At 39.1% G+C, this 24,868-nt stretch overlaps 1 protein-coding gene across 62 annotated transcripts in view; it reads left to right on the forward strand.

The window, feature by feature from the left end:
* Nucleotides 1-24,868, forward strand: part of PRPF18 (pre-mRNA processing factor 18) — a 68,965-nt gene that overhangs the window by 14,110 nt on the left and 29,987 nt on the right. For 52 of the 62 annotated variants that reach the window (NR_172905.1, NR_172906.1, NR_172904.1 and 49 more), the window contains 6 exons: nucleotides 4,557-4,670; nucleotides 8,965-9,111; nucleotides 10,541-10,609; nucleotides 12,667-12,807; nucleotides 12,941-13,012; nucleotides 15,324-15,479. Coding sequence is in view for 59 of the 62 variants with exons in the window: in XM_047425923.1 (XP_047281879.1) it covers nucleotides 4,557-4,670; nucleotides 8,965-9,111; nucleotides 10,541-10,609; nucleotides 12,667-12,807; nucleotides 12,941-13,012; nucleotides 15,324-15,479 (699 nt within the window). In the remaining 3 variants the exon portion in view is untranslated. Of the gene's footprint in view, nucleotides 1-4,556; nucleotides 4,671-8,964; nucleotides 9,112-10,540; nucleotides 10,610-12,666; nucleotides 12,808-12,940; nucleotides 13,013-15,323; nucleotides 15,480-15,865; nucleotides 15,923-24,868 lie in introns of all 62 variants that reach the window. The other 10 variants (XM_047425966.1, NM_001395883.1, NM_001395880.1 and 7 more) reach the window with 5 other exon arrangements.

Raw genomic sequence — 24,868 nt, forward strand, 5'->3', positions numbered from 1 at the left:
CTGGCCGCACCGTAATATTTAAAAAATCATTTATTGATGATCATTTAGATTGCTTATTATAAATAATACTAAGATGAACATCCTTATGTAGACATCATTGCATACATAATAATGTGTGATTATTTCCTTTGGAAACATTTCTAGAAGCATGATTTTTAGGGCAAAGACTACGTATATTTTTAAGACTTGATATATATTACCAGATAGCTGTGGAGGTATTAGCCATGTTGTGCCACTTTATACTCCTAGCTGTTGTGTTTATAGTGTTTGTCTATACCTTGATCAGTACCAACTATTATTTTACTTAAAAGAAATCATAAAATTTAAAGATAATCAAGTGATATAAAGAAATCAAATCAATACAAAAGGCTGTAAAACAAAAATGTCTTCCCTTTTTCTTATCTTCCGTTTCCTCCCACTCCCCCTGTGCCCCGATCAGTCCTCCTACCCAGTTCTTCACTTGTACAAGCGTCAGTGTGTATGTGTATACCTTTTTTCCCTTTCACACAAATGAGATGACATGCATTTGTGCCTTAGTCTTTTCACTTAAAAGTACATTTTGAAGGCCATTTTATGTTGGGGGGTGTGTGTGTATGAACATTTTTTACAGTAAACATGTGCTTTGGGCAGGTTATCTGGTCTGTTTCTCAATTTCCTTATGTCTGAATGAGGGTAACAATTGGGTCTACCTCAGGAGACTTTCATGATAAAATAAGGTAATGCATGAAGAGAACAGTCCTTAATAGTGAGCTACTCAACAAATTTAGGTATTGTTTTTAGTAGTAGTTCTGTAATTTATTAAAATTAGCTCTTTACTGATGGATAGATTACTTCCAGTTGTTTGCCCTTACATGCAGTGCTAAGGTGAACTTCCTTATACATATGTCTTGATATTCGTATGAGTTTATCAATAGGATAATTTCCTAGGAAAATAATTTCTGGTCAGAGTGTGTGTCTATGTAATTTTTGATTGTGTGGAATTGTCCTACAAAGAAGCTGTGCCAATTTACATTCCAACTGTAAGTATGTAAGACTTCCTAGCATTTCTGTCAACTCTTTATTTTAAAATGTTTCAGCCTTTGCCAATCTGAAAGCAGATTATTATTTTAAATTTTTGCCAAACTGATGGGTGAAATAGGTATCTTGTGTTAATGTGAAACTTTCTATTAGTGATTATTAGAATTGAACATGTTTTCACGTGTTCAGTGGTCGTTAATGTCTCTTGTTTTGTGGAATTGCCATTTTTATATTGTGAAATTTGTCTTTATTGATTTGCAGATCAACATATTTATATGTTAAGGGTGTTAACCTGTGTTCATAAGTGTGTATGTATCAGATGTACATAGTGTATATATATATTTGTCAGTGTATCATTTATTTTTTGCCATGCAGAAGTTTTACATTTTTATACGATGACATCAGTCTTTTTCATTATGTTTTTTTTTTTGTCTTGAGCATCATGCTTGGAAAGGTTTCCTCTGTTCCTAAGAGTTAAACAAAGATATATTAATTTTTTTCCACTACCTTTATGAACTCATTCTTTATATATAGAAAATGTAATTTTCTTTATATTTTAATTTTGTATCTCAAATGAGTATATATTAACTTCATAGTCAAAATACTTGAAATTTCACGTCACTTACATATTTTAGAATTCTGTTACTTTTCGATTTTTTGAGACAAAGTCTCACTGTGTCTCCCAGGCTGGAGTGCAGTGGCATGATGTAGGCTCACTGCAACCTCCGCCTCCCGGGTTCAAGAGTTTCTGAAGCCTAAGCCTCCCAAGTAGCTGGGACTGCAGGTATGCACCACCAGGCCTTGCTAATTTTTGTATTTTTAGTAGAAACGAGGTTTTGCCATGTTGGCCTGGCTGGTCTTGAATTCCTGATTCAGGTGATCTGCTCGCCTCGACCTCACAAAGTGCTGGGATTACCGGCGAGGGCCACTGCGCCTGGCCTAGAATTTACTTTATCTTTAAACATTGAAAAGCTTGAGTTAAAAGACGACGTAGTTTTAAGAAGTTGTTCTTTTTGTGAGATCCATCATTAGTAAACCATTGTTACTGATTAATAGTGGTACATCAGTTAAGTAGTAGACATGATATGGGGAAGAAGTTCCTGCCTTTGCTCAGCGAGCGTCTATTGAAATAGTAAAAGAGGACTCAGAGGCTTAAGTTCTTTCACTGATGTCCCTTTAGTCTCTGTGTCATTTTTTGGGGGAGGTGGTGGTGGTGGTGGTGGTGGTGGTATATTTCAGCTTCTTTATTTAAAAAATTAGAATAATAGAATTCTTGCACTAAAAGAAATTTCGAAGTCAGGTAGTTTATTACCTTGCCTTTAGACAGAACCACTGTTATATAATTCCAGGTAGATGAGAGTTAGCTATTTAAACTGATAACCAGAAAAATATTATGCACTCCTCACAACTTGGCCTAAGTTATAGCACCCAATCTTAAGCAGTGTTTTACAGTAATAACTAGCTCACATTCCCTTTCTTTTTTCTGTCGAGGTTGTTTTTGTCTTTGACTGACTGACTTAGGGTCATCTTTCATCTTTGAGTCCTCAGTAGTCTCTTCCTGTTCGACCTCTGTAGTTGTGGATAGGACTGAATGTAAGTCATAGAAATAAAGCGTCTAGATCAAAGGCTTATGTATTCTGTACTTCTCGCAAGTTGACATGTTTGTAGTATTATTATTTAGTTCTACATTACCACATGTTTATGACGGACATTGCATAAAAGGAAATTTTCAGGGGAATGGTGACTGACTCTAGAAACCATCATATGAAGATGAGGTGAAGGAATTTAGAATAGTGAGGCTGGAGAGAAGAATTACTAGAGATATCTTTAAAAATCCAATGAAAGTAGCTCTGATTTTGGAAAATCAGAATATTCTCTGTAGTTTCATAAAGTGGAACTGGGATAAATGGGTAGAAGTTTGGGGGAAGTAGATTTCAGTTTTGAGAAGCAAAACATCTCTGTCTAAACAATGGGATGGGATGTTTCACGAAGAAATGTGATTCCTGCCATTTGTCAGCCAGGGATCTGACAAGGGTGTTTGTGAGGTCATTTCTGCATTGATTGGAGATAGCACTAGATGACCTCTTAAATTTCTGTTTTAATCTCAAACTTCTGTTAATCCACTGGGAGCCCTCTCAATGGATTTTAGGTGTGATGCTATTTATGCTCCCAGGTAAAGCTCTTGGTGTTTCTCATTATTGCTTTATTTAAAAAATTTGGACTAGTATTTATTACGTTTTCTGTTTCTTTCTTCCTTTTTAAAATGACATACATAGCATGTATATAAAGTGTATGAACCATGTTAGGGCAATATATGTTTGTTACACATATATGAATAATTATAAAATAAATATTCATGTAACCATCACCCAAGTTTGGAAATAGATTTTCAGCATCTTAAAAGCTCTGCATATGCAGATTATAACTCCCTGTTTTCTGAGGGAGAAGTTTTTGGTTTCATGGTGGTATTACAATGCAGACTGTCCATTATGGTAATTATCAGCTGGCTTCAGATTTGATTTTCCTTCTCTCTATAAATGCTGTCATTCCCTCCCATCTTAGTGTTTTTCCTGTGTGTCCTGCCACACAGATTGGTCCTATCGAAGCAGTGAGCTAAACGACCTAAACTTTATGGTTACTTAAGGTGTGATGGTAACACAGTATATCTGTTTATGGAAAATTAAAAGAATAAACAGATTACTTTTTTCATCTACATTTCAAAACAAGTGTTTGATCACCAAAAATATGCTGACATAAGGGATTACTATTGTCTTTCCATTGTTTTTAAAAGAAGACTAAGAACAGTTATAATTATGTAAAATGAGGGCCACAGACATGCCCCTTTTCTTACAAAAAAGAATTTTTTAAAAATCTCACAGTAAAAGAGGTGGTTTATATTAGGGTCTTTCTTTAGACTTGAATTGTAGAGTCATAGGTCAGACCACTTTCTAGGAGCTGTTCAGTGATAAAATTAATAACAGTGACTTTTGAGTCAAAATAGATTTTTAAAGTACTTGATTTTCTCTTTGATTTGGAAACATCTTTGTTTAGCTTAATTGAAATGATCTAAAATATTTGAAGGATTTTATACTTTACACAGAGGCATGTATTTGGATAATTAGCTTTTATTAAACCCAGGCTTGGCTTTTAAGGTACAATATACAAATTGTTTTTGAGATGTTTAGTTTTTTCCTCTCTCAAAAGTTTAATAGCTGGGCACATTAGCTCACGCCTGTAATCCCAGCACTTTGGGAGCCCGAGGCAGGCGGATCACAAGGGCAGGAGACTGAGACCATCCTGGCCAACATGGTGAAACCCCATCTCTACTAAAAATACAAAAGTTAGCTGGGTGTGGTGGCGGGCGCCTGTAGTCCCAGCTACTCGGGAGGCTGAGGCAGGAGAATCGCTTGAACCTGGGAGGCGGAGCTTGCAGTGAGCCGAGATCGCACCACTGCACTCCAGCCTGGGCAACAGAGTGAGACTGTCTCAAAAAAAAAAAAAAAAAAAAAAATTTACTGGGTATCTGTTTCACTTTGTAGGTCATCAGAAGATTGAGAGAAAGAGGAGAACCAATCAGACTATTTGGAGAGACTGATTATGATGCTTTTCAACGTTTAAGGAAAATAGAGATCCTCACACCAGAAGTTAACAAGGTAAGAGGACAGAACAAAGCTAGAAAAATACCACTGTACTGCATTCACTAGAATAGAGTTTGACTAATTGCATTATTGTAGGCAACAATGGAAAAGTAAAGTGAGCAGATTATTGCTGCTGAATGGAAGTTTTCATTAATTTTTTGAAAAGCTCATATCTTAAGTATAACATTTAATGCATTTTGACAAATACATACAAGCATATAACCATTGCCCTTATAAAGAAATAGAACATTTTCGTCACCAAAGAAATTTCCCTGAGAGCATCAGGAAGAATAGCGAATGGATGCTGGGCTCAATAGCTGGGTGATGGGATGATCTGTGAAGTAAACCACCACGACACACGTTTCCCTATGTAACAAACCTGTCATCCTGCAGCTGTATCCCTGAACTTAAAAGTTGAAAAAAAAGAGAAAAAGGAAATTTCCCCAGTACCCCTTCTCAGCCTATCCTCATATTTCTCCTCATCCCTTCCTGGGCAGCCACCATTTGAATTTTGTCATCATGGATTAATTTTGCTTGTTCTTGTATTTCATACAGATGGACTCATAGATTGTGTGTCTGGCTTCTTTCGCTCAGCATATCAGTTTTTAGGTTCATCCATGTTATTGCAGATACCACTGGTTTCCTTTTCATTTTCCAGTGATACTCAGTTGTATGAATATATCAAAATTTGTTTCCAGCTTTGGGCTATTAGGAATAAAACTGCTGGCTGGGCGTGGTGGCACAAGCCTGTAATCCCAGCACTTTGGGAGGCTGAGGCAGGTGGATCACAAGGTGAAGAGATCGAGACCATCCTGGCCAACATGGTGAAACCCCGTCTCTACTAAAAATACAAAAATTAGCTGGGCGTAGTGGCGTGTGCCTGTATTCCCAGCTACTTGGGAGGCTGAGGCAAGAGAATCACTTGAATCCGGGAGGTGGAGGTTGCAGTGAGCTGAGATTGTGCCACTGCACTCCAGCCTGGCGACAGAGTGAGACTCCTTCTCAAAAAAAAAAAAAAAAAAAAAAAAACAGGGATAAAACTGCTATGACCATTCTTATGCAGATCTTTTTTTGGAACTATGTTATTTTTCTTGGGTAAATAAATAGGTCTCTTGGGGAGATACCTAGAAGTAGAATTGCTGGATAATAAGAGTAGATGTATGCTTAACTTCATAAGAAATGCCAGTCATTTCCAAACCCCAGCATGTGGTATTGTTAGTCTTTTTAATTTTAACCATTCTCTTTTGTGTCTGGTAGTAGCTCTTTGCGGCTTTAATCACATTACCTGATGACTAAAGATGAGGAGCATCTTTTCATAAAGTTGTGTTCATTTGTGTAGTGTCTGTTAAAGTCTTTCTTTCCTTATTTATTTATTTTTTTGACACAGAGTCTCACTCCGTCACCTACGCTGGAATGCGGTGGCATAATCATGGCTCATGGCAGCTGCAACCTCCTGGGCTTAAGCAGTCCTCCCACCTCAGCCTCTCAAGTAGCTGGGATTACAGGCGCTTTTTGTTCATTTTAAAAATAAACTTGTCTTTTTGTAAATGGATTATAGGAATTCTTTGTATATTCTGGATAGAAGTTCTTTGTCAGATATACGAATATTTTTTGTGACTATTTTCTTGTAGTTTAGGGCTTACCTGTTCTCTTAATTGAATCTTTTGCTGAACAGAAGTTTGTGTGTGTGTACACACACGCTTTTTGAGACAGGGTCTCACTCTCACCCAGGCTGGAGTTCAGCATGATCATGGCTAACTGCAACCTCTAGCTCCTGGGCTTAAGCGATCTCCCACCTCAGCCTTCCAAGTAGCTGAGACCACAGGTGTGTGCCACCATGCCTGGCTGATTTTTTAATTTTTGTAGAGATGAGGCCTCCTCATGTTGCCCAGGCTGATCTTGAACTCCTCTACTCAAGGGATCCTCCCGCCTTGGCCTCCCGAAGTGCCCGGGCCAGAAGTTTTATATTTTAATGAAGTCCAATTTATTGTTTTTTCCTTTTATGGTCATTGCTTTTTGTGTCCTGCTTAAGAAATCTTTGCCTATCCCAAGATTTCAAATATATATTCTTAATTTTCTTCTAGAAGCTTAATATTATAGTTTTTGCTTTACATTTAAGGCTCTGATCTTGTTTTATGGCTTAGCATATGGTTTATTCCATGGGCTCTTGAAAAGAGTATTGTTTTGCTTTCATGGTACAGTTCTACAAATGTCAGTGATGATAGTGTTGTTCAGATCTTCTTTGGCCTTGCTAACTTTTTATCTACTTGCTTTCTCAATTATTGAGAGACAGGTGTGGTTACCTATGACTATGTAACAGACTACTCCAAAACTTACTAGTGTTTGTTTATTTATTATAAAGGATTTATCATTACCAAATCTGTTTTTGGTGATTAACAAGCCACCCTGAAACTTGATAGCTTAAGATAATTTGTTATTGTCTTAATAATTACCAGTTCTGTGGTTTTATTGGGCTGGATTGAGCAGTATCTTGCTTGGGGTCTTTATTGTGATTGCAGTCAGATGAAGGCTGCGGCCGAAATCATGTGAGGCTGCCTCTGGACTGGTCTTCTAAGCTGATATCTTGCCCCTTTCCTGGCGTCTCAGTTGGAATGGCAGGAACAGCTGGGGCTGGCCAGGCCCGCTCCCCGACCTGCTCTGTCTGCTAGCCTGGGCTGTCTGACTGCTTTCTTTGTTGCCAAACCACTTTCCTGCTTTACTTCCCAGCATTGTCATTCCAGCCCCACAACACTAGCAGTTGCTTTCAGTCCTCTGTGTCTGTAATGATCATTTTTCCTTTGCTTGCTGTGTTTCTGCCTTGTATGCTCTGGTTGAAATCTTGTTTTTATACTTTCACATGCAATTCAGTGACCACATCTTCTCTCGGAATCTATTTTTGGTCCCAGTCAGAATTAATTGCTTCCTTCTCCATGTGCCTATGAGTAAACCTTTGTTAGTGTACTTACTGTTTTTCGCTATTATTAGAGTTATGTGCATATTTATCTCTTCCTGGTGGGCAAAGGCTGTTTTACCTTTGTATGCCAAGTCCTGTGCCGTGCATCTAGAGGTTTTGAGGACAAAGCACAGGAGCACAAGGTCTGGATTCCATTCCTGGATTATAGTAATCAATTATTTGGCCGTTGGCAAGTCTTTTACTCTATTTGAACCTTAGAATCTTCATTGGTAAAACAGAGGCAGTGATATTTGGCTCACTGGGATGCACTGAGAATTCGATGAGGTGACCTCTGGGAATGCCTGGCGTCATACTTTTTACACAGCAGGTGATCAGTCAGTGTTTGAGAAATTATAAGTGTTTTGAGTTGAATGTTTCTCTTCTGTGTTTATGAAGGGACAGGAGACAATGATCAGATGCTTTTTGTGTGAGAACGTTAGGAGTTAACATTGGTTGAATGTGCACCGTGCTCCAGTAACTGTTCAAAGCTCATCGTCCATTTCTTAGCTTACTTGCGTGACTTGATGTTTGCGAGGTTCTGGAACAGCTGCATCACATAGTAACTGTTCACTGAAATAAAAAATAGCATCCTTATTACAGCCCTACGTAGTAGATGGTGCCATTACTCCTATTCTGTAGGTGAGTCTACTGAGGCACACAGGGGTTAAGCAAGCTTTCAAAGAGCTATTTAATAGTATGTGGCAAGGATTTGAACCCAGATAGCTTTTACTCTCAACCATTACCCTATAGCCGCCTCACAGCCATGTTTCCTTGGCTCTTAAACCTTGCAGCTGATTCTCATTCATTTTTAGGAAGATGAGGCTTCCATTTTCATTAAAGGGTCATGAACCATATGTGCATAAAATGCGAATTTGCTGGTTTGCTAGAAACATAGTTGAGAACCTGGGATATAGATGAGGCACCAATTTTATTACACTGATGTTTCTGAATGTTTTGGGAGTTCACAGTAGTTGAGGTTAGACATTGTAAATGAGCTGGGCAAACGGGTTGGGGACTCTAATGGAGACCTGCCACTGTCACTAAGCCTCATTAGAAAATTACAGCATTGATGAAGATTCTTACTTGGATTTGTCACTCACGTGTATTTTATTTTTCTGACCAGCAGACTGGCCATTGTTTGTGCATTGTTTTAATTTAAATAGGTCCGTAAGAATTAACTTTAAATGGACAGTAGTGATAGTTGTGTGATAAATTGATGTGATTTGAGTCCCTACTTTTGCTGAACTCTTCTTGTGGGGGAAAAAATATTTGCAGTTATTAATGAAAAATCAAAGGTGAAAAAACAGGTGTTCTTCCTTTCATAACAGGTGTTCTTCCTTTTTTTGCTTTTCTTAGGGATTGAGGAATGATTTGAAAGCAGCCTTGGATAAGATTGATCAGCAGTACCTCAATGAAATCGTCGGCGGTCAGGAGCCTGGAGAGGAAGACACACAGAATGATCTGAAAGTTCATGAGGAAAACACCACAATTGAAGAGTTAGAGGTAATCTCTACACCAAGCCCAGCACATCCCTGGCACCCTTCTTTTTCCTCTGGAGCAGATGACTGAGTCGGGCAGATTGTTGAGGGCAGAGCACACTGTTGTCCTTGGTCTTTTGTTTATTTACTCCTCGCTTTTATTTATTTACTCCCCTTTTTCTCATCCTCCACTCACATTCCCCTACTTCCTGCCTTCAAAAGGAACCCATTCTAATATGTTGGATATGCATCTTTCTGTTTGTTGGTGCTCTTGTGACCTGCAGTGTTTTGTGAGCATGTATTTTTGATTTACATAAATGATGTTATGCTGTGAAATTCTTTATTCCGTGTTTTACTTTTCTTTTTTTCAGTTAGCACTATGTTTTTAAGAGCTATCCTTGATGCTCTGTGTACACTGAATCCTTTGCTTTTAATTGCTACATAGGATTCCATGTGTTACGCCATTCACTGCATTTGACTTTTTGTTCTCCGGTAATGATGGACAGCTAGATTGTTCCCAGCTCTCTCCTACCACAAACAGCTTCCTGATGAACAGTCTTGTGCATAACCACGATGGCCTAGCAAAGTGGGATTGTGGGATTTATATATGTATATTTAACTTGTCTAAGTACTGCCAAGTTACTCTCTGGAATGGCTGTCCTAGTCTACACCCAGCAGTGTGAGGGTCCCCTGTCTTTCCAGCCCTGCCAACGCTTGGCAATATCTTGCTGTCTGATTTTTGCTATAGTGCTGCTTTTGGAGTGTTAGTGTATAATCTTAATTAAAAAGCAATTTTGTATCATGTAAGTAGCATGTAAAATAAATATGGCTTAAAGTTCTTAATGCTTAAGGAAACATAAACTTATTTTTCTGTTTCCTTTAATTCCTGGCTCTTGTATGTGTAGCTGTCCCTCTGAATAAGATCATAGTTGAGGAAGACGTCATTTTAATCCCCTGCCTCCTCCAATACCTGTCTATGGTCCCTAAATTTTACTAAAATAATTGGTATGGGCAACCAGTTGTGGGCTTTTTTTTTTTTTTTTTTCCTATTGGTGTATTTATTTGTTTATTTTTAAAAAACAGCTTTATTGAGATATTGACATACCATACAGTTGACTGATTTAACATATACAAATCAGTGGTTTTTAGTATATTCACATGGTGGTGCAACCATTATCACAATCTAATTTTAGAACATTTTGGTTCCCCCAAAAAGAAATCTCACATTCATTACCCCCTCTTGACTTTTCATAAAAGGTAACATGCTCTCCAAATTTAAGTGGCAAATCCGTGTTTTTTGTTTTTGGTTTCTTATCTAGAAATTCCATCCGATTTTTAAGTAAAAATTGAACAGCATATGTGACCAAGAGCCATGTTTAGACTGGTGTTGGTAATATATATGTTTAGTTGTTGCTCTGTATTAATGAACAGAAGCATTGTTTCTTTTTCTTCAGGCGCTTGGAGAGTCCTTAGGGAAAGGCGATGATCATAAAGACATGGACATCATCACCAAATTCCTGAAGGTGCGTGTCTTAGGCGAGGGGATGAGGATGCCTTGGATCCTTATGAACTATTCTTATATTTTTGGATTACCAAGGGTTAAAGGCTGGAACGGGAAAGCCTCAATACACATTTCTCACACATACATGATGTTTATGATATCACTATGCACTTGATGTAGCAGTTAGTAAGAGAAAATGCATATTTACTTTTCTTGTGGCTTTTTTTTTTTTTTGGAAACAGAGTCTTGCTCTTGTCTCTCAAGCTGGGGTGCAGTGGTGTAATCTCAGCTCACTGCAACCTCCACCTCCCGGGTTCAAGTGATTCTCCTGCCTCAGCCTCCTGAGTAGCTGGGATTACAGGCACCCACCACCATGCTTGGCTAATTTTTGTATTTTTAGTAGAGATCGGGTTTCACCATGTTGGCCACGCTGATCTTGAACTCCTGACCTCAGGTGATCCACCCACCTCAGCCTCCCAAAGTGCTGGGATTACAGGCATGAGCCACTGCGACTGGTCTGCTTTTCTTGTGGCATATTTTTTAAAGCTGGCTCATTAATGTAAACACATAGAAAAGAATCACAACAGCAGAATTAATAAGAAGTTGGTAGAGTTGCTTATTTTTTTCTTGAGGCAGAGTCTTGCTCTGTCGCCCAGGCTGGAATGCAGTGGCACCATCTCGGCTTGCTGCAACCACTGCTTCCTGGATTCAAGCGATTATCCTGCCTCAGCCTCTCAAGTAGCATGCCACCACACCCGACTAGTTTTTGTATTTTTTATTTATTTATTTATTTATTTTTTTAGTAAAGAGACAGGTTTTCACCCTGTTGGCCAGGCTGGTCTTGAACTCCTGACCACAAGTGATCCACCTGCCTCGGCCTCCCAAAATCCTGGGATTATAGGCATGAGCCACAGTGTCCCGCTGAATTTCTAGACAACCCAAGGAAGAAGAGGGTTCTAGCTTTTTTTTTTTTTTTTTTTTTTTTTTAAGCAAAAGTGTCTTTCTCTGTTGCCTAGGCTGGAGTGCAGTGGTGTCATCCTAGCTCGCTGTAACCTTGAAATCCTGGGCTCATCAACCTCCCGAGTGGTAGGGCATGTACCACCATGCCCAGCTAATTTTTTAGTTTTTTTTGTAACCTTACAGAGAGTGCTCAATTCTTCAGTTCTACAAATAGCTGCCTATTTTTGCTGACTTGCTGATTCCAACCGTCTTCTCAACATTTCTCTCTTTAGTGGTCTAGATAGAGTATGAACAAATCCCAGATATTTTATTGTTTATTCACAAACTGTGTTCAGACCAAGAGATTTACATGCAAGGAATGCTTTTTCTTGTGTGTACAGTTTAGATACAACATATTATTCATCAAGATTCTGAATATATTGAGGATACAGCATGGAAGTAGATAGGGCATAAGAATTAGTATGAACTAGAATTTCCTCTTTGAGTGATGGCCTCTTCTTTTTTAGGATATGCATAGATGATGCCCCTAGAGGACAACATCCTCCTCAGCCTTCTCTGTTTCCTACTTCCAGGAAGGGTGCCCTTTATACAGTTAAACCCAAGGGGCACTGAGGTAGTTATCTAGGGGTGGGGGTGGAGTGGGAATGCTGGGTCTTGGCTTCTTTATTTCTGTTTCTCTTTCTCCTTCCTCTCCTTTAGTCAGGTGCTTTCATGGTTTTTAAACTTAATCATGGTCTCTACAGCATATGTAGAAAGTCCAGTTTTCTTGTAACTCGTAACTTGTTGAATTTTATGTATATAATACAAATACAAATACAAGTTTATTTCCTCTCAAATAGTTAACTATGAAACTTGATAGTTGTTTTCTGAGGGAAGCAAATTATCCTGAGCTAGGAATAGATGTAGACTAGGGAAGTTGGTGACTTGCCAAAGGTACTACTTCAAAGCATTATCATGACCAATAAGCAGAACTAGCTTATTCTATATTATTTGGTGGCATTTTAATCAAGACATTTACTTTAAGGATGATTGTATTCTGTTTTTGTGTGCTAGAGAGCATTTAGATGTACTGAACCACTGGGTGGCATTGTAGTCTAAGTTTACCCATCCTTTCAACAGTTTCTTCTTGGCGTTTGGGCTAAAGAATTGAATGCCAGAGAAGATTATGTGAAACGCAGTGTGCAGGGTAAACTGAACAGTGCGACCCAGAAACAGACCGAGTCCTACCTAAGACCACTTTTTAGAAAGCTACGGAAAAGGGTGAGGTTTCTTGGAAAATACTTTTTTTAACTGACTTTAAAAATACAGTATAAATTTAGAATAAATGCAGTCTGTTTTTTCCCTATACATCTATACATAGTAGCTTCCAAAATTTCTTATTTATTTTTTTCAGAATCTTCCTGCTGATATTAAAGAATCAATAACGGATATTATTAAATTCATGTTGCAGAGAGAATACGTGAAGGTACATTCCCATGCTGTTCTTTGAAATTGTTAAGAGTATATCTAGGTTATGTACGTAATATAATGTTCATTTGGGATAGGAGGATTTTACATAGTAGATTTAAGAATAAATGTGAGATGAGTTAGTAGTAAAAAGCGTTTTATTTTCTATTGTATTTGCCAGCTTTACTGTTAGGCAGTGAATAACAAACCTGACTAAGAAAATACAGACCTCATCTGTATGCTCTTGGTCATTTTTAAAATAGGCCTAAAGGTTCTTCAGAGCATGAACTTTATATAGGCAGTGTTCATTTTATGAATTTCAAAGTTTTGTAAATGGCTGATTATGTCTTGGAACAAATTTTCCCATAGAAACAACGTTGTATAGATGAGTTTCCCAGGATGGTCATAAAAGCCCCTTTAATCTGTAATATAGCTGAACTGTTGCACTGATGGTACAGTGGAATTTAACCACTCTTTGTAATTGTTTCTATGGGGAAATGGTTCAAGCAAGGCTTCCAGGACTCATCTCTCCCATTTCAGCGTTGCAGACCCCTGCAGTGGAAGTCTCTCCTCCCTTGCCCCAGTGTCTATACTCCTGAATGGGCTCTGGGAGGCAGCGGTGAGGGAAAGGGTGCTGGTGTCCAGGGCTCCCTGAGATAGAGTTTAGAAAGGGATGAGAGGAGGACTGTCAGTTGGTACAGGGGAACAAGAAGGGAAGGGCCCAATGCACCAGTAGTGGCAATGAAGAAAGAACAGAGTTTGAGGGAGGCTTCTTGTGGCCGTGCCTCCCAAGGCACTAGGAGTAGAGCATTTCAGTGCAGCAACCCCAGTGCCAGTGCCAGAGCGGTAGGGAACTCGGAATGACATTGCTTATCCAGTGCTGTATCTGTATACTGACGTAACAAGGGACTGCTGGCATTCCTGAGTGACTGGATGATTTACGTGATTAGAGCCTTAGGCTAAAGAGGTTCCTGCAGTGATTTTACTCCTTTTAAGAGCCAGCCAGTTTTCTCAAAGAAAATATTTTTTGTCTTACAGTTATAAATGTGCTTCTTAGTTTCTGTCAGTTGCATGATTCTTACTAAGGATGGTTGCATTGGCATGGATGGATAAGGTCACCATCACTGCAGGAAGAATGCACATCACTCCCTGCTAGAATGGATGCCTTTCCTCTTACTGCTTTTTCTCGTGATCACATATCAGAACTAAGTGCAAGTGCAAGCTTATTTTGTATAAACTACAGAAAGAACCAAGAAGCTTTAATAACCTGTTTAGACAGTTTCTTTGAAATTTGGGGGAAACTAAATATTGCAGTTTTTATCAGTTAAGATCCAATGTTAAAGTTTATACACATGAAAATTAGTGATAAAAATGTACATAGGCCCTTTTTAAATTAAGCTTTATAAAACCGGTGAGCAGAGCAAGTTCACATTTATCTTTAGGGTAGAAAATGATCTTCCAGCTACCCTATCTGTAGTATCTGATTTTAAAAAAATTGACTCTCCCTATCAATCTCATAGGTGTCTGATTTTTTTAAATTAAAATCTCCTTGAGGCCTGGCTTTATAAGCTTCTCTTAACCCTTGAGGTCCTTTAGAATTTATTTGCTTTATGTTTTTCTTGTTCTTCCTCACAGCTAGCCAGGCTTGGTTAGGAAAAAAAGCCTTTTGTCTTCATTGGTTTCTGTCTTCATTTTTTGTGGCTGTTCTTTAACGGTTCTTGGCAGGTAGGGGGTGGGGTGGGGGGCAAAGTGGAGCGATCTCATCCTTCAGCTATTCGACTGGAGGGCCAGTGTTTCCTCTCTGTTTACACATCTGTTAAAGACCCTGTGTGGTCGTCGGCACATACTGAGCCCCCACTTCCTTCAGAGAGCCACAGTGCTGTGTAGGGAGTGGATATTGTTTAGGGTTGGACGATGAAAAACTACTTAGCCCCTGTCTTCTACATGACCCCCTGTGGAGAAGACTGGGTCTAAAGGAGACCAAAACTAGAATTTTCATCAGTGCATTGAAGTGCCTACCTGGTAATTCCAGATCTGCAACATATTAATTTCCAGCATACAAAGGCTGCAAAGGAATGTTTGCCTTTTTTTTACTCACAACCTAGCTTTGGTTTCTGTTTTTTCCATGGACATTGGTGGTCCTGGGCAGGGCAGTCTGTTACCCTGTATTTTAATCTGTTTTGTTTGAATAACAGTCATGGTAATATTTTCCATGTGCCCAAAAGGTGGACGAAAATTACATCATAAAGGGCTGTGAAATACTTTCAGTAAGAATTTGAGCCAGTACAACATTTTCGCCTTTCTGATTTCTTCTTACACTTTCCTTTCAGGCAAATGATGCTTATCTTCAGATGGCCATTGGAAATGCGCCTTGGCCCATCGGTGTCACTATGGTTGGTATCCATGCCAGAACTGGCAGAGAAAAGATTTTTTCCAAGCATGTTGCACATGTTTTAAATGACGAAACTCAGCGGAAATATATTCAGGTAAGCAGTTTGGAGAGCCGGGAATTGCCCTGGAAGTGAATATTCTCTAATTCCCAAAACTCTAAGTCTGGAAAGCAGGCAGAGAATTACAGCAAATAGAACATAGCGTGATAGGATGGAAGTCCCCTCTGGATAAGCACTGACACTGAAGCCACCTTCACTGAATAAAGTAAAAACCTTTCAACTTTCATATATGTTGGAAGACAAGGGTGAAGTATTGTGCTTTAATTACCTTAGCACTGAAATAAAATGATTGCAGTTTGCTTTTTTTTTTTAAGACGTGTATTAGGAAGTAAAAGTTGAGCTCATCAGAGAAATGTGGGAGTTTAGTGAAGAGCAACAAACTTAGAGTATTTTACAATAAATCCTGCTTTGTTGCTTTCAAGGTAAATCTAACATCTACTGGGTTCAAGATGTATGGAGAGTAAAGACTTGGCTTTAATGTACGTAGCACGTAACAACACTTCTTTAGTCATGTGAATAGGTCTAAAGTGCCGATGGTTTGTTTTCTTCAAGTTATACATGCTTCACATAAACTTGTTGGTACTGTTTTTGGGCTAAACTTTTCTCCCTAGTGGGAAGAAAATCGACTATAATGTAGTGTTTGCCAGATTGTCATAAATCCCAGATTGTGTCTGTAAAATGACTTGCTGGATGATAGTTCTAAAACTTGACAGTGATACTCCGGAAGTTTACTTAAAATTTGAAGTTCACTTAAAATGCATAAAGTGCTTTCAGATTTTGTGCCAGAGAACAGTCATTACCATATTCATGAAATATCTTTTTGTTTTTATTTCACTTCCAAGTGCTGAATGTTAATTCGTGTCATGCTTTATGCCTTAGTCACATATAATAGCTTTTTAAAATATGATTTCAATCGGACTCCCTCATGTGAACTGTATACAGAGTTCAAATATACTTCTGGAAATTCAACCACATTTCCATTTTTTAATAACCACCAGTGAGTGTATTAAAGGCAGAAGCTTTTAGCTGAAAAAAAAAAAAGTTGCTTAGCTTTAACAATAGAAAACAGGTTCCAAAGATTAAATTTGCTAATTGTGTTCATCTATATTGTGGCCAAAGGTATAGTGTATAAAAGTTCATATGATTAAATCAATCGTCTGAAAGACATTTCTTATAAACAGTAATGTGATTTTCACCTCCCCGAGGAGTGATTTTTTTTTAAGTATACCTAGCATTTATTCAAGAATTCTGGTTTATTTTGGAAGCTATGTAATGACCTGTCCTTACTCCATTGTTCTTCCTTTTTAACTGTTCTCTTCCCATTAAAAAAAATTCTTCTTTTGCCCCCTAGGTGATTAGAGAAAATTGATGAGCATACTGTATTTGAAATTTAGCTAGGTGTTTGAGGCAGACCCAGTGGTATTCTTGTGGATAGGGCAAATCAGGCTGGACTCATAGCTCATTGACAGAGGGAAGCCATGGAGCATTAAATAATGGACTCGTGTCTCTTAGGGTAGATGCTAGAGATGTATGTCAGGGGTCTTAGGGACCTCAGTGCTGTCCTGTCGAACCTTTTAATGACTGACTTGGATGGCTATACCGAAGGATGGGTTTATCAGGTTTGCAGACAGCAAGAAACTAGAAGGGATGGAGTGTATGTTAAGGTGGAAAAGAAACTGCTATTCTAGAAGTTCTTGACAGACGAGAGAGAAGGGCAGAGTCTAAAAATACAATATTTAGGAAGGAAGGATTACCATAAGAAAATTGGACCCATATACCCTTTTGCTTAAGCTTATAATTTGGGCAGTGGATATAAAAAAGAATTAGAGGCTGAGCATGGTGGCTCACACCTGTAATCCCAACACTTCGAGTGGCTGTGGCGGGAAGATTGCCTGAGGCCAGGAGTTTAAGACTAGCCTGGGCAACATAGCGAGACCCCATTTCTACAAAAAATAGAAACTAGCCAGGCATGGTTGTGTGTGCCTGTAGTCCTAGCTACCGGAGAGGTTGAGGCAGAAGGATCTCTTCAGCCTGGGAGTTCAAGGTTGCAGTGATTTGTGATTGCATCACTGCACTTCAGACAGAGCAAGACCCTGTCAAAAAAAAAAAAAAAAAAAAAAAAAAGAAAGAATTTAGTGGACTAAATTTAGTGTAATAAAATTTGTAGTATGATATGGCCACCTAATAACTTAGTGTAGGTTCTCCAGGGCAAGAACATAGTTCAGTATTGTACCCCTAGAATCTAGAACAATATCTGACTCATGGTGGGTGCTTAATAAATATTTGCTAATTGAATGAATTCATGATAGAGCAAGAGAGGTGATAATAATTGCTCTTTTCCTAGTCCTCGAGAAAGGAGACTCTTGGTGAGAATCTGGGCAAGAGTTCTAGATCAGCGGTCCCTGACATCTTTGGCACCAGGGACTGGTTTCATGGAAGAGCATTTTTCCATGGATCGGGGAGGTCAGGGGGATGGTTTCAGGATGAAACTGTTCCACCTCAGATCATCAGGTGTTAGTAAGGAGCATGCAACCTCGATCCCTCACATGTGCTGTTCACAATAGGGTTTGCGCTCCTGTGAGAATCTAATGCCAGGACAGAGGAGAGCAGAGCTTAGGTGCTAATTCTCTTGCCCTCTGCTCACCTCTGCTGTGTGGCCCATTGCCTGACTGGCCACGGACTAGTGCTGGCCTGTGGCCCAGGGGTTGGGGACTTCCTGCTATAGAAAATGGTAGAACTTTCTGATGGAAGAGGATTAAACTTGTTTTATACAATTGGACAGATTTTTAGTTAGTGTAAGACAAAGCTTTTTCAGAAAACGTTTTTATTTTGAAATAATTATAGACTCACAAGAAGTTGCAAAAAATAGTAAGAAGCTTTTTAATAGGCAGAGTTGTCCCAAGGTGGGAGATGGAGGAAGACACCCACCTCTTGATGTCTGGAGGCATAAAACATTGCCCTTTTTGGCCCTTCTGGCCAGAGTCCTCTCATTCTTTTCTGCCATTTTCCCTAGAGGCCATTGCTTAAACCTCAAGTTTCAACTCATGCGCCCAAGAGTCACTAAGATAACGAGTGAGCTGAGGGTTAAACCTCTGGCTTCTGTCTTCCACTTTCCTACTCCTTATGTAGGTGCAACTAGAAGCTGCATTTTATTTTCTTCTCACCTGTGCTGTAAGAGAAATGAGCAATGCAGAAGCGATACTGAGTGTCAGTGATGCTTGGCCTCTCTGTTGATGAATTCACTTGAGCTCATTGTTACCTTGTAGGAATATGGTTCCAATGTTGCTGGATCTTCCATGATTTTTTTTAATGAGAAGGAAAATCTTGGTTTTTGAAAAAAAAGTATTCTCCTATTTTTAAATGTTGGCATCAAATAAAAAAATTAACATCGTGTAAGGCTAAACAGAATGCCAGTTTGTGATCTGTGTCTTAAACCCATAGTGTAACTCAAGCAGAAGAATGCGGCCACCCTATGTTAGAGTTTTGTAAAATTCTTGGTTACAATTTACTGATTGATTTACTAAGCTGTCTAAAGAATGTTCCTCTTGTTACTTTGGTATCTGGATGAGATTAATTTGAATTCTCCTAAAAAAAAGACAATTTATTATGTGAAGTTTAAGTCAAGGGTTGGCAAAATTTTCCTTAAAGGATCAGATAGTAAATATCTTGGGCTTTGTACTTCTTGCCATCTCTAACTACTCACCCATGCAGCTAAGGCACAAAAGCAGCCAGTGGCTGTGTTCCAGTAAAACCATGTAGAAAAGAGGCAAGTGGGCTGAGAACCACAGTTTGCTGCCCCGTAGTAAATGTATGAACGAACCCAAAACCTTTTTTACACTAAGATGTTGGCCGAGGAGGTAATTATGAAAATCATTTAATAATTATTTCTTTTTAAATTGCGGTATAAAATGCCTCAATGCCTCAACAAACATTGTAGTGCTTGAAGTCTGCTACCTTAATGGTATAGCCCAATGATTCTTGATACGTGTCATGTATATCAAGCTGTAAAACAAGATCTGGAGTTAGAACACTTCCAGCAGGTTCCTTCATGCCTGTTCCCAGCCTGAATCCTCCTCCTCCTATCAGAAGTAACCATTATTCTAACATGTACCATTATTGGTTAGTTTTGCCTGTTCTTGAGCATCATGTAAATGGAAACTTGTAATGTCTGAGATAATTATTTTTTTATTTAGAAATACTGGTGAAAAATATGTTTTATGAAATATGATAGACAATAATTCAAGGGGCAGTTTCACTGGAACATAGATTTCATCTTTTGGTTTTATGCAAACCTCTGTAGAACTTAAACAATGAAAGTTATTTGAAGTGTTCTATTTCTCACAAAAATTAAATATACCACAAGGAGGGTTCTCTCCAGGCAGATCAAAGGAAAGTTCTATAGCTTACTGGCTTGCTTCAAGTCCAGGGTTAGGTAGAAATTGGTGGTAGTAGCTTTAAGGTCTTTGTTCATTCTTCCAAATAGAGATGTAACCCCTGGCCCAGACTTTGGGTAAAGCTTCTTTTACATATATTATAGGAAGCTCTGGGTTATTTAGAAACTTTATAATTCAATCATTCCCAGATAGCTCTTGAAAAAGTTCACATCTTGGGCATTCTTTATTTGTCAAAAATAAGGGAAGGAAGGTAGACAGGAGAAAAAGATGAGGTGAAATGCATGTCAAAGAGCTGTTGCCCTACCAGAGCTACTCTTATCCTTCCTCACTGTGTTCCCTCCAAACGTGACTTTACCAGCAACACTGATAGGCACCCTTGCCCTGTGGCTTCTGACTGGAGCAGGCGATGAGAGGGACTGGAAGGCATTTTGTAGGTTGGAGAAGAATGAGTTTAGGGTATTGATTTTCCCAACTTGCTCCCTGGAGGGGCCCCTAGGGTGACTGCATCCCTCTGCCCGAGGCTGTCGCTTCTCTCGGGTGGCTGTCTCCATACAGCTACCCTCCCTAGGTTCCAGTGGCCACTCTCCTCCTTTGCCTTCAGAATTTGGGCTAGCCACAGCTTCCCAGGATTGCCAGCGCTAGGTTGCTCTACTGTGTCTTGTTGGTCCTAAGTCCAGCCCACTCCTTTGTAACATCCTCGAAACTACTACCATCACATTATCCAGTTCGACTGCTGGCATCCTCCTCGCTATGTATAGATGAATTGATCTGTGCACTGTGTTACAGATTCCTTTGGAGGTTAGAAGATTAAGGAATAATAATCTTCTAATGATTTCCGTTAAGCTTTTGCTATTACAAAAGGTAAATATCCTATAATATTATTCTCTGGCAAGTTGTTTTCAGTAAGCTTAAGTTTATAAGTTTCCTAGTAAAGACATCATCCCAATATTTTATGTCAATTATTTCAATCCATGTTTCAGGTTTTGGCATATTTCATCTATGCTAGCATTTGCCAAATTTATCTGTCCATGGAACATTTGTGAGTTTGTAATGTGTTCACGTGTTACCAAAACTGGTATAACAGAAACATTCATGACTGCAATAAGTGATCACAGCTTGATCTGTATGTTGCACACACAGTATCATAGCTGTTGGTAAATGCTCCCATGCCTCAGTGCTCTAATGTATGTCACACACTTGTGGGTTGAGTGGCTTCATGCCACAGCCTGGCATTCTGGGCTATGGTAAGCTGTTTCCTAAAGGCAAGTTGTTGCATGATGACAGCTGTCTACCCCCTTAATCTTCCTGGCATATTAAAAGAGTACATTTTTAGAGAAAAATACTGCTAGTATTTATGTTTTACATAGTAATACCTTTTAATGTCATAGAACACTAGCGTGTTTTGGAAACAGATTTGGGGGAATGCTGATCTAAACTGGGCCATGCTGCTTTCTAGCTGGCAGCTTAGTTGATGGTAAAGGGCATTTTACTGTAGAGTATTACATCTTACATTTCTCAACCACACGGTTGGAAAAAAAGCCAGACCAGTCTCTATTGTGAAAACCTGGTACTCACGTAAATGAAATCTTCCCTCAAATTAGTCATTTGGGGTACCTTTTTACTTAATTTTTGAGTTGTTGTTTGTAATTTGGTGTAACTTTCTGTGAAATAAACCCTTGCACTGGAAACTTGTTCTCGTATAGAAAACAAAAATACAGAGAAGTAAAAAGAGCAGCAGAGTCTGTTTCTTACCATAAACTATGCAGGCAGTTTGAGTTAGTCTGAAGCTATCTGTTTTCTTTAGTTTTTTGATAAGTCCTCCAGATACTGAAGTTTTTGTATGTTTAATACTTACAGTGGGCTTCTTATTAGAACCAGCCTGCAGTTGCCCTTATCTGCCGTCATCCCAACTGGCTGAACCCAGATCAGTAATTTAAAAGTCTAGAATGGGTTGTTTCGATGAATTCAGTTTTAACAATATATTTGTGTGAAAAGAGTTCCCACAGGCCGGGCACGGTGGCTCACGCCTGTAATCCCAGCACTTTGGGAGGCTGAGGCGGGCAGATCATGAGGTCAGGAGATGGAGACCATCCTGGCTAACACAGTGAAACCCCGTCTCTACTAAAAAAAATACAAAAAATTAGCCGGGCGTGGTGGCAGGCGCCTGTAGTCCCAGCTACTCGGGAGGCTGAGGCAGGAGAATGGCATGAACCCTGGAGGCGGAGGTTGCAGTGAGCCGAGATTGCGCCACTGCACTCCAGCCTGGGTGACAGCGCGAGACTCCGTCTCAAAAAAAGAAAAAAAAAAAAGTTCCCATAGACAGTGTTTGAAGTATTGGCGTTTTAATGCATGACTACAAATGTTAGTTGAAATGATAGAAATGTACTTACTAAGTACACATTTTTTGAACATCACATTTCAGGTCAAATGAGCATTCCTATAGTATGAAGTTAGGATTCGTTAACTTAAGTATTGCATATTAATGCATTATTATGTTAGAACTTTTGCAGTTTATGACAGAATTTTAAATAGCTGGGTGGAAAACGTCACTCATCTTGTTTTTTTATTCTTCACGTTCTTAGGATGTACCACTAAATGGATTTGTGCTTTCCTCTTTAAGGCTTTGTTTCATAGTGTAGACTAGCAAAAGGTACAGAAATAATTGATTTAACAACATGTCTTTATACTTAAATATAAAGATTACTTATAAACAAAATATCTTCCTCAAGTTCTAATGATATATTAAAGAGGCAAATCAAGGCAAAGAATTGTGATTGTGGTTTGGTTTGGTTTAGTTTTTGTTTTCTGCAATAATAAAAAAATTGCTAATCTTTTTAGTGGATGCAGGTTGGTTGTTTTAATGGTTTATTGATTTCTCCGGATATAAAGAACTTTCATTATCCAGGATATATCCTATATCATGCTATGATACACCAAACTATATCTGTATCTGATATTTGTATATCATATCTGGAACATTCTGTATTACTTCCATTTAGACTTAAAAATTGTGACATACATAACATAAAATTTACCATCTTAATCATTTTTATGTGTACAGTTCACCAATTAGATATTTATTTATTTATTTCAGACAGGGTCTCATTCCGTCTCCCAGGCTGGAATGCAGTGGCATGATCTTGGCTCACTGCAACTTCCACCCCCCAGGTTCAAACACTTGTCATGCCTCAGCCTCCTGAGTAGCTGGGTGTGTGCCACCATGCCTGGCTGATTTTTTTTGTATTTTCGTAGTGACATGGTATGCCATGTTGGCCAGGCTGGTCTCGAACTCCTGACCTCAAGTGATCTGCCTGCCTTGGCCTCCCAGAGTGCTGGGATTACAGGCGTGAGCCACCGCAGCTGGCCTCACCAATTAGACTTTTAAATGCAGAACATTTTCCTCTAAACACATTGATATTTGAAAAATGAATATAGCTAAATATTGTATGGGAGGCAGTCATTACGGAACCAAACAGTTCCCACTGTAGAAACTAGAAAACCTGGGGACACGGAGGATATTAGGCACTTCTCAAAGGCCAGGCCATGGGAGAAGGCTGAAAAGAAGGAGTGGTTGAGAATTAGGATAAGTAGTCCAGAGGTTGCCTGCCCAAGTGGGGCTCCCCGCCCTCCTCCCACTCTAGCAGAAAATCGGGTTGCTTTTGGATGGATATGTACTGCTCAGGAAGGGTAAGATATCATACTGAAAACAGGAAAATTGAGTGGAATATACAATATTGACAAATGAGACCTTTAGTTCCTGGATTCCACTGATGCTGGCAGCCAGGCTTTCACCCCTCAGTTAGTAAGTTGGAGGATTCTGCTCTGTGAAACTGACCCAAGAGAAAGCATCTGAGTTACTAACACTTAAGTGTTCCTTCAGTGAAAAAACCAGCTTGCTGCCCTGTCATCTGAAAATGCTGTCCTATGGGCAAGCCCCACCTATTCAGGGAGTTTTTCCATTCAGCTCTATAGTGCGTTACTCATCAGCATGAATGTTCACCTAAGATTCATCAGACATTTGGAGAAAGTCTCCAACATGAAAACAGAGACCAAAACACACAGAAAAAAAGACCTTCATAGAAACAGAATTATAGAGAACAGAAAAAAATTTCATTGAGAATGATAATTAATATCCTTAGAGGCCAAGCGTGGTGGCTCATGCCTGTAATCCCACCACTTTAGGAGGCTGAGGTGGGAGGGGTGCTTGAGACCGGGAGTTCTAGACCAGCCTGGGCAAAATAGATCCCTTCTCTACAAAAAATAAAAAATTTAGCTGGACGTGGTGGTGCATGCCTATTCAGGAGGCTGAGGTAGGAGGATTGCTTGAGCCCAGGAGTTTGAGGCTGCAGTGAGCTAGGATCGTGCCACTGCACTCCAGCCTGGGTGACAGACGGGTCTGAAAACAAAACAAACAAAAAAATTCTTAGGTAACGTTGTAGCCATGAAATAAGAACATTAGGCTATAAAAAAGTTTGAGAATCAAAATGAACTCTTAAAAATTAGCAAAAATTTAAATCAGCAAAAATTTAGTAATTACATTAGTGGGTTAGAAGATAAAGTTGAAATATGAAAAGCAGGAAAGGTAAGAAAATAAGAGTCAATCTATAACGTTTATAGCCATTACAACAGAAAAGGGAAGATAGGAAATAAAGAATTAATGTAAGAAAACGTCCCAGACCTGAAGGACGTGAGTTTGTAGAATGAAAAGAATTCACTTAATACAGCGCAAATGAATAGGAAGAGTTCACATCAAGGCACAAAAGAATGCATGTTGGAAGGCCAAAGCTAAAGAGAAGATTTCAAAGACTTCAGAGAAAAGGTCGCTTACAAAGGTGCAGGAATTAAAATACTGTCATACTTCTCACTGATAGCACTAGAAGGTAGAAGACAGTAGAGCAGTACCTTTGCAATAGCTAGGGAAATATTGTCCAACTCAGAATTCTCTTCCTTTCTGAACCATCAAGTGAAGGGTAAATATAGGCTAATGACATCTCCCATGCACACATTCTCTGTAGTCATTATCGTCATAGC

This window comes from Homo sapiens, chromosome 10 (assembly GCF_000001405.40).
Source record: "Homo sapiens chromosome 10, GRCh38.p14 Primary Assembly".
Lineage (NCBI taxonomy): Eukaryota > Metazoa > Chordata > Mammalia > Primates > Hominidae > Homo > Homo sapiens.